Below are 19,051 nucleotides of genomic sequence, written 5' to 3'. Positions count from 1 at the left end.
CTGTGAATTTTAAACCATTACAACTAGGCTCAAACACATCTTTATTAACCAAAATAGGAACCATTACAACCAACACATTTTTGCCAATGAGAAATATATTTGTTTATTCCATGCTTCAGGGTTTGATGAACTCTTGGAAAGCATTTTCTGCATCCTGCTGATTGTGGAAGTGTTTTTCCAGCAAAAAGTTGTCAAGATGCTTGAAGAAGTGATAGTTGTTTGGTGACAGGTCAGGTGAATGTGGTGGATAAGCCAAAGCTTCATAGCCCAATTCATTCAACTTTTGAAGCATTGGTAATGTGACATGCATTTGGACGTTGTGGTGGAGAATTGGGCTTTCTGTTGACCAATGCCAGCTAAAGGTGTTGCAGCTTTTGCTGCATCTCATCGGTTTGCTGAGCATACTTCTCAGATGTAATGGTTTTGCTGGGATTCAGAAAGCTGTGGTGGATCAGACCGGCAGCAAACCACCAAACAGTGACCATGACCTTTTCATGGTGCAAATTTGGCTTTGAGAAATGCTTTGGAGCTTCTTCTCTATCCAACCACTGAGCTGGTTGTGGCCAGTTGTTATATAAAATCCACTTTTCTTCACAAGTCACAATGCATTTGGCCCAGGAACTGCTAACGAATGTACAGTGCAGCAGTGGTTCAAGAAGTTTTGGCCGGGCGCGGTGGCTCACGCCTGTAATCCCAGCACTTTGGGAGGCCGAGACGGGCGGATCACGAGGTCAGGAGATCGAGACCATCCTGGCTAACACGGTGAAACCCCGTCTCTACTAAAAATACAAAAATTAGCCGGGCATGGTGGCGCGTGCCTGTAGTCCCAGCTACACAGGAGGCTGAGGCAGGAGAATGGCGTGAACCCGGGAGGCGGAGCTTGCAGTGAGTCGAGATCGCGCCACTGCACTCCAGCCTGGGCGACAGAGCGAAACTCCGTCTCAAAAAAAAAAAAAAAAAAAAGAAGTTTTGCAAAGGAGACGAGAGCCTTGAAGATGAGGAGCATAGTGGCTGGCCATCAGAAGTTGACAACAACGAAGTGAGAGCAATCATCGAAGCTGATCCTTTACAACTACATGAGAAGTTGCCAAAGAACTTAATGTCGACCATTCTACGGTTGTTCGACATTTGAAGAAACTGGAAAGGTGAAAAAGGTCGATAAGTTAGTTCCCCATAAGATGAGTGAAAATGAAAACAAATAGTCATTTTGAAGTGTTGTCTTCTCTTATTCTACGCAACAACAACGAACCATTTCTATCAGGTGTTATAGTTACTGTCTCCTTAATGTTGCAATTCAAAAGCCTAGCCAGAGAAAAGCAGGTTATTTTTTTCCAGACTTGATATCTGCAATTCCAGTAACTACTACTGAGGCTGTTTTATTTTATTTTGATGCACTTTGCTTTGTTTTATTTTATTTTACTTGATTTTGTTTTGTTATTTTTTTAAGGTTCTTAATTTGTACTCAGTGCAGCCAGCTTTTCACCAGATAAAGGTAACAGAGAGGGAACAGTAAAGTAGCATGCAGTGAAGTTTATCATGATTTATTTATTTATTATTTTTTTGGCCATCTCATTTGTTTTTTAAAAAATTGAGTGCGTAGTAGTTGTATATATTTATGGGACACATGAGCTGTTTTGACACAGGCATGCAATGTGAAATAAACACATTGTGGAAAACGCGGTATCATGATTTTTTGAATGAAATTAATCTTTTTTAAAATAGCAGCACTATTCATCCAATTGACTAAAATGTGCTTGAATTTAAAAAGAAAATAAAAATTTTGTGTTTTTTATTTACAAGACACTTTATAGAAGACACAAGACATGATTATCTGCTTCTAAATTTTTGTGACTTTAGAGAGAATATAGAAACTTTACAATTTTCGGAAAGAATTACCAAATACTAACACAAAAGAAAAATAGGTCCCTAGTAAATTTTAACTTACTCATTTAAAAATTACCCTCTTTCTTCTCATCAAAGATAAATGCATAATCATTCTGAATATTTCCTCAGAGCCAAACTTCTTACAATGTATACGCATGTGCTTTTTGTCACTCTACTCGTAGATGTAGTCTATCTATTGTTTTTTAATATTAACTTTTAAAATGATTTCTTGACAGAAAATAATAACAAACTCAGATTTTTTTTTTCATTTTAAGCACTCATAGTTCTAACTACATATTTTTGTATTGAGAAATGATTATAAACCAAGAAAAGACCATGTTTTCTTTGTATTCATTCCTCAGTTCACAATACTAGTTAGGAAGATTTTTTTAAAAGATCTAAGATAGTAATATTTTTTTCTACAAATCTCCTCACAATAGTACTTAATCAGCCAGGAGCTTCTGCGATTCCTTATTTTCCTCTCCACTAAAGTTACACATTTTTATTCATTTAAATAGAATGGGACTCAGCTCATTTCCTCATTGAGCAGATATTTTAGGTGCCTACTATGTACCAGACATTGCAGTGAAAAGCAATGACTTGGGAGAAGTCTCTCTCCTTGAGAATCCTTAGTTCAGTAATTTTTAAATAATTTTTAAGAGTCTCAGTCATTCTATATTTCATCAAATTTTACAAATTAAGTTAACAGAACTTATTTAAGAAGTAGCATACAGTGGGTTCTGTCTCTACTTTCACATGAAAACTGGAAAAATGAGATGATCTCTTGATGAAGAAGCCAGTTAACTCATGAGTCACTTAGTCAGAAACAGCTTCATTGTTTCTTTCAAATATATTAAAAATTTCACAAATGGCAAAAATTCTTATGTTCATGTGCAAGTAACTTATAAAGGAAATTGGAAATTAAATTAATTTTTCTGAACACCTTCTATTTGCTTGACATAATACAAATACTCACACATAAAAACATGTATTTGCATGGCAAGTGTTATTCTAAACAGCTTACATATATAATCCATACCATCATCACAATAATTCTAAGAGATAAGTACTCTTATTGTTTTATTTTTCCAATTTAAAAAAAAAACTGAGAGACAAAATAATTTGCCCAAGGTCATGTAATAGGACACGGATGAGCCAGGATTTGAACCATGGCACTCTAGCTGCAGAGTCTTTACTCGGAGCTGGTACTCAAGATTAACCTTTGGTTTGATGTATCACCTTTTAAAGATGAAGAATGTAATACTTCCAGAGGTTTGAGAACTTACTTACATCCAAGAGCTGACAAAAAGCAATACAAATCCATGTTTTGCTGACTTGAAACCCATGTCCTCTTTCTTTTACGTTTCGCATCAATTTTTAATTATCTGTATCATGTTTTCCTTATTTCAAGAGAATGGAATTAAAACTGAGTGGTATTAAACCTATGTTTCCTATTTACTGAACTTTAGGTAATAGCAAATAGGACACAGGTTTAATACCACTCAGTTTGAAACTCCTCTGTTATCAGAAGAGGTTCTTGTTCTTGAAGTCTATCATCAAATTCCTAAGGGCTAAATAAAACTATTACAGTAAAACTATTTGAAAAGAGTAGTGACATGTGACCAGAATGGCTCCTGACACTTAGAAGATACTCAATACATATTTATTGAATGAATGGTCAGGTTCCTATAGAATGGTAACACAGAATATCACCACAGAACCAGTAATGAGCTAAGAGACTGCCTGGAAATAAATGAAGTGTTATTCCAGTTTTCTATGGGAAAAATTTTCCTTTTTAAATTTTTTATCAAATTGAAAAACGGTGAGGAGTAAAGAGTGGTTACTCCTAAAAATATGAACTAGGCCTTTTGGAATCTGACGGGTTTTGTTATTTTCCTTAGGGGAATTCTGTTATTTTAAAATAAAGAACTTAATTTTTTATTGGGAGTTGTTATTCTTTTTTGGCTAGTTCTCATCTTTCCCAACTCCAGAAAAGCACAGTCTCCTACAATGATCAATATCCTTCATAGTAGTGCATATCAAAACCCAACAGAGCCTGCTCACTTCCTACTATAGTCCTGGGTCTGTGGTTCTAAAGCTAATTATCCTGGATGTGCAGGTATCCAAACCCAGGAAGCAACATACATACCTAAAGAGATAACTGTCCTTTTTCCATGCCAGTTTATTTTCCATATAATCTTATTGTCATTTGTGTTCTCTGAGTATCTGTATGCTTCTGAATGTGTACTAGTTGTAGATAATAAGAGTAAATACAGGCCGGGAGCAGTGGCTCACACCTGTAATCCTGGCACTTTGGGAGGCCGAGGCAGGAGGATCACAAGGTCAAGAGATCGAGACCCTCCTGGCTAACACAGTGAAACCCTGTCTCTACTAAAAATACAAAAAAAATTAACCAGGTATGGTGGCAGGTGCCTGTAGTCCCAGCTACTCGGGAGGCTGAGGCAGGAGAATGGCATGAATCCGGGAGACAGAGCTTGCAGTAAGCCGAGATCGCGCCACTGCACTCTAGCCTGGGTGACAGAGCGAGATACCGTCTCAAAAAAAAAAAAAGAGTAAATACATAGCATGTTCTACTTTTTAAAAAAATACAGATATCATCTGAATGCAGTGTATTCATCATTCACATCTACTGAGTTACTGATGCATTACAGTTACTTTTGTGTATACTTATAAGCACAATATCTGAGTGTGTTTGGAGTTTGCAAATGTGCATGTGCTCATACACTTGGGTTCCCGAATAAGGAAGTGTACTTATCATTTTTATTTTCTGAATTACTTGGGTTATAGCACTGTCTTTTTCTGGAAGACCTTATTATTTGTGAGATTGTTCCTCAGAAAGAGGACACACACACACGCACACACATTTCCCCTCGCCACCTTCCTCTTCCCAAGTCTCGTTGGGGAGGACAGGCAGAGTACTTCCAGCCAGTCTAAGGTCTCTTTTGTGCCTGGAGACTCCACTTAGCTTGCTAGCTCTTCCTTAATATCCTCCCAGGATCCCCTTGAGCCCTGGAAAGGCCAAATATGTTCCTGAAGGCTGTGCCTCTTGGGAGGTCCCTTGTGAATAGAAGTGAGTTGGTTTGTCTCCTCCAGTAGCTTGAAAGCAGGCAGAAGCACAAATAGCTCCATTCTGTGCCTTCTTCAAGCAGAGACAGAACCAGACTTGCCCAGAAACTCTCTAGGCTTATGTACATTGTTCTTCTCTTGGTCTACATGATTTCTTCTCTTTTCTCAGCGCAAGCTGGCCATCTTTGATAAAGCTAGGTGGGAAAAGGGTTATATTCCTGAGAAAATGGTGAGTTGAAAAAAAGACTCTCAGATATTTCCAAAGGGGAATTTAGCCATCTTTTAATTATTTATTTTTATGAAGGAAAGTAGGGAATAATGGAAGATAAATTGTATGTAAATTACTGATTCATCCAAAATTTTATTTTATTGATTTTTAAAGATAGTTTGTCATCTTTAAGCCTATAATGCGTAGTGATACAACAAGTTATAGATGGAGAGGAATTTAGTATATATATAGATTAGTTCCAGTTCAACAAAGATTTTTTTCAGCATCTATGTATGTCTAGCCATATGAAATATGTTAAGGATTCAGAAATGTAGTGTAATATGGATTCTCATGTCATTTTAAGACTCTACTGTGATAACTTACTCTAGGTGAAATAAGCCTGAGAATGAAAATTTCCCAAAGGTTTGTTCTGAAGATGCCTCAAATTAATGCATCTGCCCAACTCTGCCTTTCAAAGCACAGATTCCAAATCTACTCTGACATAAGGGACAAAAAAAGAGAAAATGGAGTAGAGGATGAAATGAATGGACCAGTGTAGATGAATGAATACATGTATGCGAGAAGTGGTGGGTAGAACATAGGTATGTGAGTAAGCATGTGTGTTTTATGTTAAATAAGAGCAGGGACTGACAAACAAAATGATGTCTGGAGGATCAGATGGCTTATAATATTATTCCTGCTACATTTTTTCTTTTATTTTTAATTAATATGTATATATATATAATTGTACGTATTTGCGGGGTATATAGTGGTATTTTGATCCATATAATGAACCATGATCAGATCAGAGTAATTAGCATATTCATCATCTCAAACATTGACAATTGCTTAGTGTTGGGAACATTCAGTATCCTCCTTCAAATATCTAGCTATTTGAAACTATGTATCATATTATTGTTAACTACAGTCATCCTACAGTGCTATAGAACACTAGAATTTCACTTCTAGTGATAGTGCCATAGAGCAAGAAAAATTCCCATAGAGCAAAAAAATGCATCACATTATGTGACCACATTTATTTTCAACTTGAAATCCTGAAATAAACTGCAAAGATTAATCATACCCAAGTGAGACCCATAGAAATTAAGCCACTTTTCCCAAAGGACCTAGTTGGAAATTAAATTATTTCAAAATACAAGTCATGGTTTTGGAAAGTTATAAAGTATAGAGGATCAGGGATATGAAATAGATATTTTTTCACTAAAGTCTTCAAAGCCAACTCACAGTAGAAACGGAGAGGTGCAGAGGGGCTTACTACATAGCAGCAAGGCATTCTGTCCTACCAGAAACCTAGGGGCTGTTACACATATCACCCTGAAGCATATTCGTTCCTGAAAAGGCCTGGGAAAAAGGAGCTGGATTAGAATTGTATCCCTTTAAAACTGATTTGAAGGAGTAAGAATGTGTTCCTACCCTTTAGAAAATGCCTATTGAGGGTCCAAGACCCTCAATGTCCACCTCTGGCTAACCTACACTTTTTTTTCTCACCTCCCTGCAGGAATTAGTAGAAGACTAGATTGAGCACAAGTGATTGCTTTGTTACTTCTTTCACTACCTATGTTCCATTTTTGAAGACTTCTGAGACCCTCAGTTTGGCCAAACCAATCCCCACAGAGCTTGTATGGCAATTTTTAAAATGCCTCCATTACCAGGAGCAATTTGACCATATACGTTTTCTTCCCTATACCTCATTTTCCCACAAACAACAGAGTAGGTCATTTCCTAGACCCATTATTATCCTGGGCTCATTGCCCACTAGCTGTGGGAAAGGTCATATCCACCCTCCCTGGGAAATCAGAAAGAGAGCCTCTTGGTCCTCTCTGGTGGAAGGCTCAAGGGGAAAAAGAAGATATTCTTATCCTCTGATTCCAGAGTGAAACTAAGCCTTAAATTCCAATTGTATTTTCCATAGCCTGATGATATTTGTCCCCATTAAATGTCCCAGTTAAGCTGGAATCATCCAAAGAGGATGATCACAAACTTTAGGGAACCGATAAACTGGCCATATATATATATATATATATACATATATATATCTCCATACATACATATATGTAAATTGAGTGGCTTAATCTAAAAAAGAAAGACATTATGAGACAGGGGTAATGGGGGTGATGAGGGGGGCAATTGGAGGTTTAATGGACCTTACAGCTATTTTCAAACAGTGAAGTCTATCCTTTGAGAACGAGACGAGACTTACTTTCAGAAACAGAACCAGGACCCCTGAATGTGGGTGCATTGGGTTTCAGAAGAGAAAGTGTTCCATCTCCCAAATCAAAAGTTTCTCTTATTTAAAGTATGGCTAGTTTTATAGATACTGGATTTCCATTCCTGGAAAAAATCAGGCAAAGTCTGGGTGAATACTTGTGTCTATACATTGGTGATTCACAAAATGTGATAGGGAGCTAAATCATATTACCTCTCAGGTTCTTTGCAGTCCTACAATCCTGTGTTTCTAGAGCTGAAGGATCTCATTCTACTTGTTTAGCAATGTGTGTTTGTGTGTGTGTGTGTGTGTGTGTAATCACTACAATGGACAAGCAATTGTGAAAGCTAAAATATATATATTTTTTGAGAAAATCATAGTTGTAAGACTCGCACTAACTTTTATGATTCTATTTAAATCAGGCTAAAACTTGAGATGATTTGTCCTTCTTGAGAATCGGGTCAGATAAGTAAATAATTTGAATGAAGTGTGTAAGATAACAGAAGGAATTAAATTGAATGAATTGTATAAGACAATTGGGGGTTAAAGCTTGATAGGGACTAAAATGTAATCATTAATAAATTGCTACTCTGCCACTATATAGTTGTTTAAACTTAGAGAAAATCACTTAAATCACTCTGGGATTTCCTTATCTGAGGAAAAAAAAGAACTTTGAATTAAAATACCGCTGATTTTAAAATGCTATTATTTCATGAGACAAGTCCACAATGTGTGACTGAGAGTTGGCTACAAGAAAAAGTGAGATGGTTTAACCTGCTGCTAGGTAATATGTTTGAGATTCAGAGTACCGGAACCTTCAACTGACTCTTGGCTCTCAGCCTGGCCCTTTGATTCTCCTTAAATTTTCATTCCTTGCATAGAGTGCCATTAAAACTATTTTTAAAGGTACAATTTAATTCTCAGAAGAAAAAAAAAAAGCCTCACCCAATTCATAGATCATCCTCTACATACTCATACACAAAAATCAGTGGATTATAAAAAATAAATTTGCTGTTTAATTTCAATTCTGCCATTAAGCAATTTAGCTGTGTACCATTAAGCTAGACATTTAATATCTTTGGGTCAAGTCAGCACTGTGACATTGGTGCTAATTCCATGATGGTGAACATCAGATAGAATGATGTGAATGTGCTTTCACATACACAAATGTGAGTTATCATCTGGCAGTAAAGATGATTCCATATATTCAGCATAGCCTCCTCAGAATCCAGTTGCTATAAAACTTCCACTGGAGGGAAGGCTGTTAACTATGTGAACCTTGCTCTCTTCCTCACAAGCCTGCCCAATGGACTGTCTAAACAGTCTGAGAAGGCACTGGGATGTGACTCAGACAATCTAGCCCTAGAAATTAGGAATCTAGACACCTTACTATATCTACAATGCATGTGCCTGTTGATAAAGCACTCTACCTCTTTATACATTAACTTTAACACTTATCAAAATATAATTCTATATATACATATGTGTGAATAATTTTGAAACTTGAATGTCAGCATATTGTGCTTTGAATTGTTTTCCTCTTCTGCTTGACTGCTAGGGACCTCAAAGCTAAATTCCATGCTCAAATGATAAAGCTGCTTAATCAGATGTTCTTTATATATACTGTATACTCACTTTCCTTTTTATTTCCTTGTATTTTTACTTTGTGGAGCTTCATCTGGACTCTGCTGGAATTAGAAGAAGAATGAATGAATGCATAGTTCTGTGAAAATATCCCCACTTTATTTACTTATTCTTATTCTTAAAATTAAATTAGATGTTTTTATTTCCAGCTTCATGTCTGAAGCAGCTACCCAAGAATGACAATATCTATTGCAAAGGAATGGAGAATATGTTACATTAATTAGTAGAATTATTCTAACCATGCTTTTTAGGCTAGGCATCTTCTACAGGACACTGTGGGTGATTCCAAGAAAAGAGGACATTAGGGTATAATGTCTTGCCTGTAGTTTTCCAGAATATTTTTAAAAAATAGACACAAAGATTAAGCCCAAGGACATGGCTCTGGAGACTGGTATCCTATCACTATGGACCAAGAAAGTGCCTCCCAAACAGTAATACTACCCTCAATAGCTAGAAACATGTTCATTTCATCAATTCATTGAAAATGGTGGTGATATAGTAAGAGAGAGCAAGATGGAGACTGGCCTACACTCTTCACAAATAGATTTTAAGTTGGTTTGAATTTTTGGACTCAAAGATATTTTTTTAAATCAGGATGAAGAAAAAGATAAGGAGGATTCATAAACCTTGCCTTGCTTGTAAGTCCCACTCTCACACTGCCTAGTGAATACCAAGCTGCAATGAGCAAGGACAAGTTTTGTGTTGACTGTGTGTGTGTTTGTGTTTGTGCATGTGTTTCTCAGGAACTATATTCCAACAGAAAAGAAAATTATTTGCATTTACACTGTTATATATTCTTTGCCTTTTCTGGGTTATCTGTGTCCATTTCCCTCTCTCAGAAGGAATAATCCTGCCTTTCTATTCTGCCTTTCTTTCAGGAATCTAAAGCTGAAATCTAAGTGGGAAGAGGAAATGGATAGTATGGGCAGTAGTTTTCTGGCTCTGCAACCTCATGATCATTCCTTAAAAAAAAAAAAAAACCATCCCCTAGTTGTCCTACATATTTATGCCATAAAATAGAGCTGTTGAGAAATGGGGATCAAGAGTGACTGTGGCTCTGGAGAAGAGCAGAAAAGAGAATTGAAGCAATAGGACACAGAGCAAGACTTGAAATGGGAAGGTGTTTAGTATCAATGGGTTTGGGAATGATTATCAGCCTAACACAAAAAGAGGTCACACATTTTGCTAAATTAATGAACAGAAATGCAGAAGAGTCACTAATAGAATTCTTGCTTGTTTTCTCTGATATTACTCCCAACAGATTACAGTTTTTAAATTTATTACCCTTGGAAAAGTCCCACGGTCCTCTCCCTTTTTTCATTAACAATGGCTGCTGTTTGCACCAGTTTTTTGCTGTTTTTGGCAGGGGTTGAAGTTGGGGTGGGGGAAACTTTGTGTGGGGTGGAGTGTGTGTTTTTTTAAAAGGAGGAGGAGCTATGTATGTGGGGTAAGTAAAGTAGCCTGGAAAGGTCACAGCAAATATCATAGGAACTGAATTTAAACTCTAAATCCCATTTGATGTTCACAAAATGTGAACCCCATTGTATTATCCCCATTTTAGAAATAAAGTAACTAATATTCTAAAAGATTATGTGGTACTCTCACTTAGCTATACAAAGACAAAAGTTGGATTTGAATGCACTTTTGTCAAACTCCTAAGCAAGCACTTTATACAATGGATTGTATTGAAGAAACTATTACCCTTCATGTTATCCATTCAATTTTGTTCTCTGAAAAGCTGGTGAATAATTGCATCAAACCTGATTTTGCTGTTAATCCTGTGGGTATGCTCAACTATTGCTTCATTCAAGCTTAAGCACATTGTTAGACACAAGCAAGAACGTTCTCTCCATTTTACAGATAAGTGGGGTCATGCAACCACTCCAGAGTCACCCAAATTGCCCCTAGAGAATGGGTAGTTGGGCCTTCTTTCTCTTCTCCATATTCAGCAGATGGGGATGTTTTGCCTGTAGTGAAAGGGTGGTCTGGAGACCATTTATGTGCCCAAAAGTGATATATTGGTAAAGCACAGAACTGGGATTTAGAAAGTTATAAACTCTATTTTGTATGACCTTGGACAAGTTACTGCTCTTGAGAAAATCTGAAAACAAGTTAAAATATAAGCTCCCTAAATTCCATCTTTTCTCAAAAGCTTTGGTTCTCTTCATAATTCAAGAGGCAGTAAGATAAAAAAGCAGAAACCTCCTATTGTGATAAATTTGCTGGTGGTGGGCTCTATCAATACAAATAACCATAGACTAGTGCTTGTGTCATGGAAGGAACTGACTTTGTCTGTGCCCACAGCCAGTCATGACCACCATAATTCTGGAAGTAGATAATCATACAGTGACAACACGTTTCATTCTTCTGGGGTTTCCAACACGACCAGCCTTCCAGCTTCTCTTTTTCTCCATTTTCCTGGCAACCTATCTGCTGACACTGCTGGAGAATCTTCTTATCATCTTAGCTATCCACAGTGATGGGCAGCTGCATAAGCCCATGTACTTCTTCTTGAGCCACCTCTCCTTCCTGGAGATGTGGTATGTCACAGTCATCAGCCCCAAGATGCTTGTTGACTTCCTCAGTCATGACAAGAGTATTTCCTTCAATGGCTGCATGACTCAACTTTACTTTTTTGTGACCTTTGTCTGCACTGAGTACATCCTTCTTGCTATCATGGCCTTTGACCGCTATGTAGCCATTTGTAATCCACTACGCTACCCAGTCATCATGACCAACCAGCTCTGTGGCACACTGGCTGGAGGATGCTGGTTCTGTGGACTCATGACTGCCATGATTAAGATGGTTTTTATAGCACAACTTCACTACTGTGGCATGCCTCAGATCAATCACTACTTTTGTGATATCTCTCCACTCCTTAACGTCTCCTGTGAGGATGCCTCACAGGCTGAGATGGTGGACTTCTTCTTGGCCCTCATGGTCATTGCTATTCCTCTTTGTGTTGTGGTGGCATCCTACGCTGCTATCCTTGCCACCATCCTCAGGATCCCTTCTGCTCAGGGCCGCCAAAAGGCATTCTCCACCTGTGCCTCCCACCTGACCGTCGTAATTCTCTTCTATTCCATGACACTTTTCACCTATGCCCGTCCCAAACTCATGTATGCCTACAATTCCAACAAAGTGGTATCTGTTCTCTACACTGTCATTGTTCCACTCCTCAACCCCATCATTTACTGTCTGAGGAACCATGAAGTAAAGGCAGCCCTCAGAAAGACCATACATTGCAGAGGAAGTGGGCCCCAGGGAAATGGGGCTTTCAGTAGTTAAAAAATGTATAGATTCCTTTCAGGCTTGAACTGAGAGATGATCACTACACACTTTCCCCCTCAGTCTTGTCTTTGGTTATCCCCCAATCTCCAGTACTGTAACACTGCTCTCCTCTGTGTGTGTGTGCATGTGTGTGTGTGTGTATACACAATCATGACTGGAGAAACATGTTCTCAAGAAGTAACCTCTGGTATCAGGCTGAGAGACAAGTTTTAAAATGTTAGAAAAGCTATTTGAAATCAGGAAGAAACACAGAGAGAGAGACAGAGAGAGTGGGTGGTAGGAGGGAGGAAAGGAGGAAGATGAATACTTTTTCCACACAACTTATCAAAATAAATGCCATACAGGACAAACAATTAAATATAAAGAATAAAACCATCGTTCATCTCTCAGATGGTTAGAAAAGGGTTTTTAAACACTCTATATTGTAGAAGTAAAAGAAAAAGTTCAACATAAATTAATGCCTGTTAGGCACAGTGGCACATACCTGTAGTCCCAGCTACTCAAGAGACTGAGGCAGGAGGATCCCCTGAGTCCAGGAACTTGGGCCCAGCCTGGTCAACATAGGGAGTCCCCACCCACTTCCCTCCAAATAACATAAATGACTAATTTGTTAAGGCGTTTAAAAACAAAAGATTAAGTTTATACCAAATAACAAAGTGAAAACTATTACTAATTTTTATTATTAATGTTATAATAACATATACCAACCTTAAATATTAAAAAACACTTTAAAATAAACTTATAAAAATTAAACTCTCAATGGAAAAACAAGTTAAGTATATAAACATAATTTTAAAAATAGGTAGTTGTTATGGGCAAAGTTATGTCCCACTCCTCCCTCCCTCCAAAAAAGTATGTTGTCCTAACCCCAGTCTCTCAGAATGTGACCATATTTGAAAGTAGGGTTTTTATAGTGGTAATCGAGCTAAAATTTGACTGCTAGGGTGGGCCCTAAGACAATATGACTGGTGTCATTATAAAAAGGAAAAATTTGGACACAGACACACACAGAGGAAAGACAATGTGCACACACACAGGGCAGAGAGCAACCATGTTTCTGCAGTAATGCATCTATAAGCTAAGGAAGAAGTATTGCTGGCAAACACCAGAAGCTAGAAGCAGCAAGGAAGGATGTTAGCCTAGAGCTGAAAGAGAGAGAGAGAGTATGGCCCTCCCAAGTACTTTATTTGTGATTCCTAAGATCAAAAATACTGAGACAGTATTTGGTACTTTTTAATGGCAGCCCTAGGAAACTAATACTGGAGCCAATAAACCTCAGCAATTTTTAAAAAGATATTAAAAAACAAAAATTGACAAATGGGATGTAATTAAACTGACAAGCTTCTGCACAGCAAAAGAAATTATCAACAGAGTGAACAAACAACCTACAGAATGAAAACATTTTTGGCAAACCATACAACTGACAAAGGTCTAATATTCAGCATCTATAAGGAACTTAAACATATTTACAAGATGAAAACAAACAACTCCATTTAAAAGTGGGCAAAGGATGTGAACAGACACTTTTCAAAAGAAAACATACATGCAGCCAACAATCATATGAAAAAAAGGCTCACTGATCATTAGAGAAATGAAAATCGAATCCACAATGAGTGGTTTTATTTTATTTTATTTTATTTTATTATTATTATACTTTAAGTTTTAGGGTACATGTGCACAACGTGCAGGTTTGTTACATATGTATACATGTGACATGTTGGTGTGCTGCACCCATTAACTCATCATTTAGCATTAGGTATATCTCCTAATGCTATCCCTCCCCCCTCCCCCCACCCACAACATTCCCCGGAGTGTGATGTTCCTGTGTCCATAATAATAGCCATTCTAACTGGTGTGAAGTAACGTCTAATTTTGTTACCATCTAACACCACTCCAAATGGCTATTACTAAAATGTAAAAAAATAACAGATGCTGGTGAGGTTGTGGAGAAAAAGGAACACGTATTCAATGTTGTTGGGAGTGTATATTAGTTCAATCTATGTAAAAGACAGTGTAACGATTCCTCAAAGACTTAAAAACAGAAATACCATTTGACCCAGCAATCCCATTACTGGGTATATACCTAAAGGAATATAAATCATTCTACTATAAAGACACATGCACATGTATGTTTATTGCAGCACTATTTACAATAGCGAAGACATGGAACCAACCACAATGCCCATCAATAATAGACTGGATAAAGAAAATGTGCTACATATACAACATGAAATACTATGCAGCCATAAAAAAAAATTAGATCATGTCCTTTCCGGGAACATGGATGGGACTGGAGGCCATCACCTTTAGCAAACTAATGCAAGAACAGAAAACCAAATACCACATATTCTCACTTGTAAGTAGGAGCTAAATGATGAGAACTCTTGGACACACAGTAGGGAACACAGTAGGGGCCCATTAGAGGGTGCAGGGTGGGAGGAGGTAGAGGATCAGGAGAAATAACTAATGGGTAATAGGCTTGATACCTGGGTGACAAAATAATCTGTACAACAAACCCCCATAATACAAGATTACCTATATAATAAACCTACACATGTACCCCTGAACTTAAAATAAAAGTTAAATTAAAAAATTAAAATTTAGACAAGATTAAGATACCCAAAAATTTTAATTGGTTATTTATGTGAGATATTACCCATCACATAAGTGACATAAGAAATTGTATAATACTGCCTGTGGTTATATAAGTTATTTCAAACTCTGGAAGTCAATTTAGAAATAGTTCCCTTGTCTCTATAATTTCAAATATAGGAGTGTGTATTAGGGTTATAATTTATGAAGCTATATGCACACACATATTCAATTAAGCATATTTAATTTTAAAAGCATGTACATTTTCCAAATAACTGGAATATTTAAGTAAAGTATGGTTTACCTATGAAAGGGAATACTATACAGATATTGCAAGTCATATTTTGAAAGAAAACAATGGTACAAAATAATTATAATATTAAATTAAAAGGTAGAATATAAAATTGTAGCATAGTTTGATATTATGAACAACTATATTAATAAAGATATAATTAATGATAGAAAGATAAGTGTGTATGTGTGTATGTAAAAAAATTCTAGAGAGATTTTAAGTGATACTTTCAAATTATTTTCTCCAGAGTTATGGCTTACTTTATAATTACCTGTATTTTATAAAAGTTCTATAATGAACATGTATTAACTCTATAATTACTATTCACCAAAAATATTAACCAATGAGGGAAAAGAAAACATGTCCTCTTGTTTTTGTTTTTCTTGAATACATTTCCTTCATTTAAATTACATTGATTATAAAAATTCAGTAATCTGTAGTACCTGATTGTAACTGATACTATGTTGGGGGTTTTATGAAGCCATATATCACTACTCTTATGCCTGACCATGTTCTTAAGCCACTTGAGAAGTAAAACAAATCAGACAACAGAATGAAAATCAAAATCTCATCTTTGGACAGACTTTGTGGCTCATGCCTGTGATCCCAGCACTTTGGGAGGCCAAAGGAGGAGGATCCCTTGAGCCTAGGAATTTGAGTTCAGCCTGGGCAAAGTAGCAAGACCTTATCTCTACAATAATTATAAAATTAGGTGGGTGTGGTGGTGTACGCCTGTGGTCCCAGATACCTGGGAAGCAGAGGTGGGAGAATTGCTTGAGCGAGGATAGTGGGGCTGAGGTGGGAGAATCGCTTGAGCCAGGATGGTAGGGGTGCAGTGAGTTGTGATCTCACCACTGCACTCTAGCCTGGGTGACAGAGTGAAACCCTGTCTCAAAAAAAAAAAAAAAAACTATCTTTATTAGTGTTTATGGCTAAGTTGGAGGAACACTAAACCCTCCAATTAGACAGACTTCTCTGTACCCAATGAACTGGCATAGTCAGACACCTTCAGTTCTCCCCTAATGTTTTAACCTCTTGTGACTTGTCAGTTCCCAAAGAGAAGAAAAAGAGAATGGGGATGTGTAGAGGCCCCTCCTCCCAGATATGACAACACACACGGGGGCCTGACGGTGGAGGGTGGAGACTGGGTGAGGGAAAGCATTAGGAAAAATAGCTAATACATACTGGGCTTAATACCTAGGTGATGAGTTGATAGGTTCAGTAAACCACCAGGCACACATTTATACAACAAACCTGCACATCCTGCACATGTATCCCAGAACTTAAAATAAAATAAAATATTTTTAAAAATAGAATGATGGATTAAGAACCTCTGAAAATTCATTCTTTCATATAAGAAGCAATAACACTGGCAAAAATTGTCAAAATCAACTTTTCAAAATGCAAATAGACTAGAAATTATGGCCTGTGCACAGAAAGATAAAGTAGTAAGTAGAAACTGTCCCTTAGGAAATCCAAACATGAACGTTACTAGATAAATCTTTTAAATGAGCTATTGCAAATAGTTTAAAGAATTAGACATATTATTTCTAAAGAACTAAGGAAAACATAAGAACAATGTCTCACCATGTAGAAAATGTCAATAGAGAGGCTGGGCATGGTGGTTCACGCCTGCAATCCCAACACTTTGGGAGGCCGAGGCAGGTGGATCACTTGAGGTCAGGAGTTTGAGACCAGTCGGGCCAACATAGTGAAACCTCATCCCTACTAAAGATACAAAAATTAGCTGGGTGTGGTGGCGCATGTCTGTAATCCCAGCTACTTGGCAGGCTGAGGCAGAAGAACCACTTGAACCCGGGAGATGAAGTTTGCAGTGAGCTGAGGTCACGCCACTGCATTCCAGCCTGGGCGACAGATTGAGACTGTCTAAAAAAAAAAAAAAAAATATATATATATATATATATATATATATATGTAAAATTATAAATTTTTTTTAAAAAAGAAAATATCAATGGAGAAAAATTATAAAAAAGAATCAAATAGAAATTCCTGATTTAAAATCCAATAACTGAAATAAAAATTTTACTAGAGTCTCAACATTAAATATGAAATGGCAAAAAAAAAATCTGCAAACTTGAGGACAATTGAAATTGTCTAGTCTGGGAAAAAGAGAAAAAAAGAATGAAGAAAAATGAACAGAACCCCAGTGATGTGAATTGGATCTGTGTCCCTGCCCAAATCTCATGTTGAATTGTAATGATGGAAGTGGAGCCTAGTGGGAGGTGATTGGATCATGGGGATGGTTTCTAATAGTCTAGCACCATCCCCCTAGTGCTGTTCTCTTGATAGAGTTCTTATGAGATCTGGTTGTTTAAAAGTGTGTGGCACCTCCTACTTTGATCTCATTTTCTCTGGCTCAGGACATGTAAGTCTTGTCTGCTTCCTCTTTGCCTTCTGCCATGACTGAAAGTTTCCTGAGGCCTCCCCAGAAGCTGCGCAGAAACCTCTATGCTTCCTGTACAGCCTGTAGAACCATGAACCAATTAAACCTTTTTTAAAATAAATTACCCAGGTATTTCTTTATAGCAGTGCAAGAACAGACTACTAATACACCTAGAGACCCACGGGACACCATCAAGCAGACCAATAGATACATAATGACGTTCTAGAAGGAGATGAGAGAGATAAAGAGGAAGAATGAATACCTGGATAAATAAGCAAAAGCTTTCCAGATTTGATAAAAGCACAAATCTGTATACCCAAGTATATGCAAGAAGCTCAACAAACTTTACATAGTATAAACTTAAAGAAATCTATATCTAGAGGCATAATAATCAAAATTTCAAGAGCCTGTGTTGATGGGCTTATCATAAATAAAGACATAACCGATATGATAATAAGAATACAAAGCAAAGAGGAGGAGAGATATATAGAAGCAAATACTTTGAATACAATTGAAATTAAATTGATATCAATCTGAAACAGATTGTTGTGAATTAAGAAACTAATTGCAATCCCCAGGTCAAACACTGTGTATAACTAAAAATATATATAGTAAAAGAAATGACAAAGAAATTCAAGGTATACACAATAAAACATCTATTTATTGCAAAAAATGTAGCAATTGAGGAATGAGAAGACATAAGATATATAGAAAACAAATAGCAAAATGTCAGATATAAATCTGTCTTATAAGTAATATAAATTGATTGATATTTCAATCTAAATATCAATTCGAAACAGAAATTAACAGAACGCACTGAGTGTTGTGTGGTTAGTCATCCTCATAATCCTAGGGTAAAAAGAGCCTCTCAACAATAGAATTAATAAGAATGATTAAAACATCCAGCTACATGCTTTCCACAAGAGATGTATTTCAGACTCAAAGACAAAAGTTAGTTAAAAGTAAAAAGATGGAAAAGCTATACCACTTGAAACAGTAACCAAAAGAGAGCAGTAGTGATTATGTTAATATCAGACTAAATAGACTTTAAGACAAAAATTGTTTTTAGAGATAAAGTAGGATATTTTATAATGACAAAAGATTCAATCTATCAAAAGGACTTAACAAATGTAAGCATACATTCATCAAACAACAGAGTCTTAAAATATATGAATTGAAAACTGGCAATATTGAAGTGGAAAAAGACAATACAACAATAATAGACAAAGGTTTCAATACCCCACTTCAATAACTGATAGAACAAACAAACAATAAAACAGCAAGGATATATAAAAGTGAAACACTATAAACTAAACACACTTAGACATCTGTAGAATACTCCAGCAAAACAAAACATAAATTTTCTCAACTGTACATGGGACGTACTTGAAGACAGACCTAGGACATAAAACAAGACGCAAT

The 19,051-nt window shown here is 36.7% G+C and overlaps 1 protein-coding gene across 2 annotated transcripts; it reads left to right on the top strand.

The window, feature by feature from the left end:
- The first annotated feature begins 5,060 nt into the window (after positions 1-5,060).
- Positions 5,061-14,916, top strand: OR6Y1 (olfactory receptor family 6 subfamily Y member 1). 2 transcript variants are annotated; one of them, NM_001386050.1, is made up of 2 exons: positions 5,061-5,200; positions 11,355-14,916. In NM_001386050.1, exon 2 carries the CDS (start codon positions 11,361-11,363, stop codon positions 12,336-12,338), a length of 978 nt encoding a protein of 325 aa, NP_001372979.1. In that variant the 5' UTR covers positions 5,061-5,200; positions 11,355-11,360; the 3' UTR covers positions 12,339-14,916. The 2 variants fall into 2 exon arrangements, with proteins under 2 accessions (NP_001372979.1, NP_001005189.1); NM_001005189.2 differs by having other exon boundaries at positions 9,929-14,916.
- The last annotated feature ends 4,135 nt before the right edge of the window (positions 14,917-19,051 follow it).

The sequence above is a fragment of the Homo sapiens genome, chromosome 1 (assembly GCF_000001405.40).
Source record: "Homo sapiens chromosome 1, GRCh38.p14 Primary Assembly".
Taxonomy (NCBI): domain Eukaryota; kingdom Metazoa; phylum Chordata; class Mammalia; order Primates; family Hominidae; genus Homo; species Homo sapiens.
This window is presented reverse-complemented; position numbering and strand designations above follow the sequence as displayed.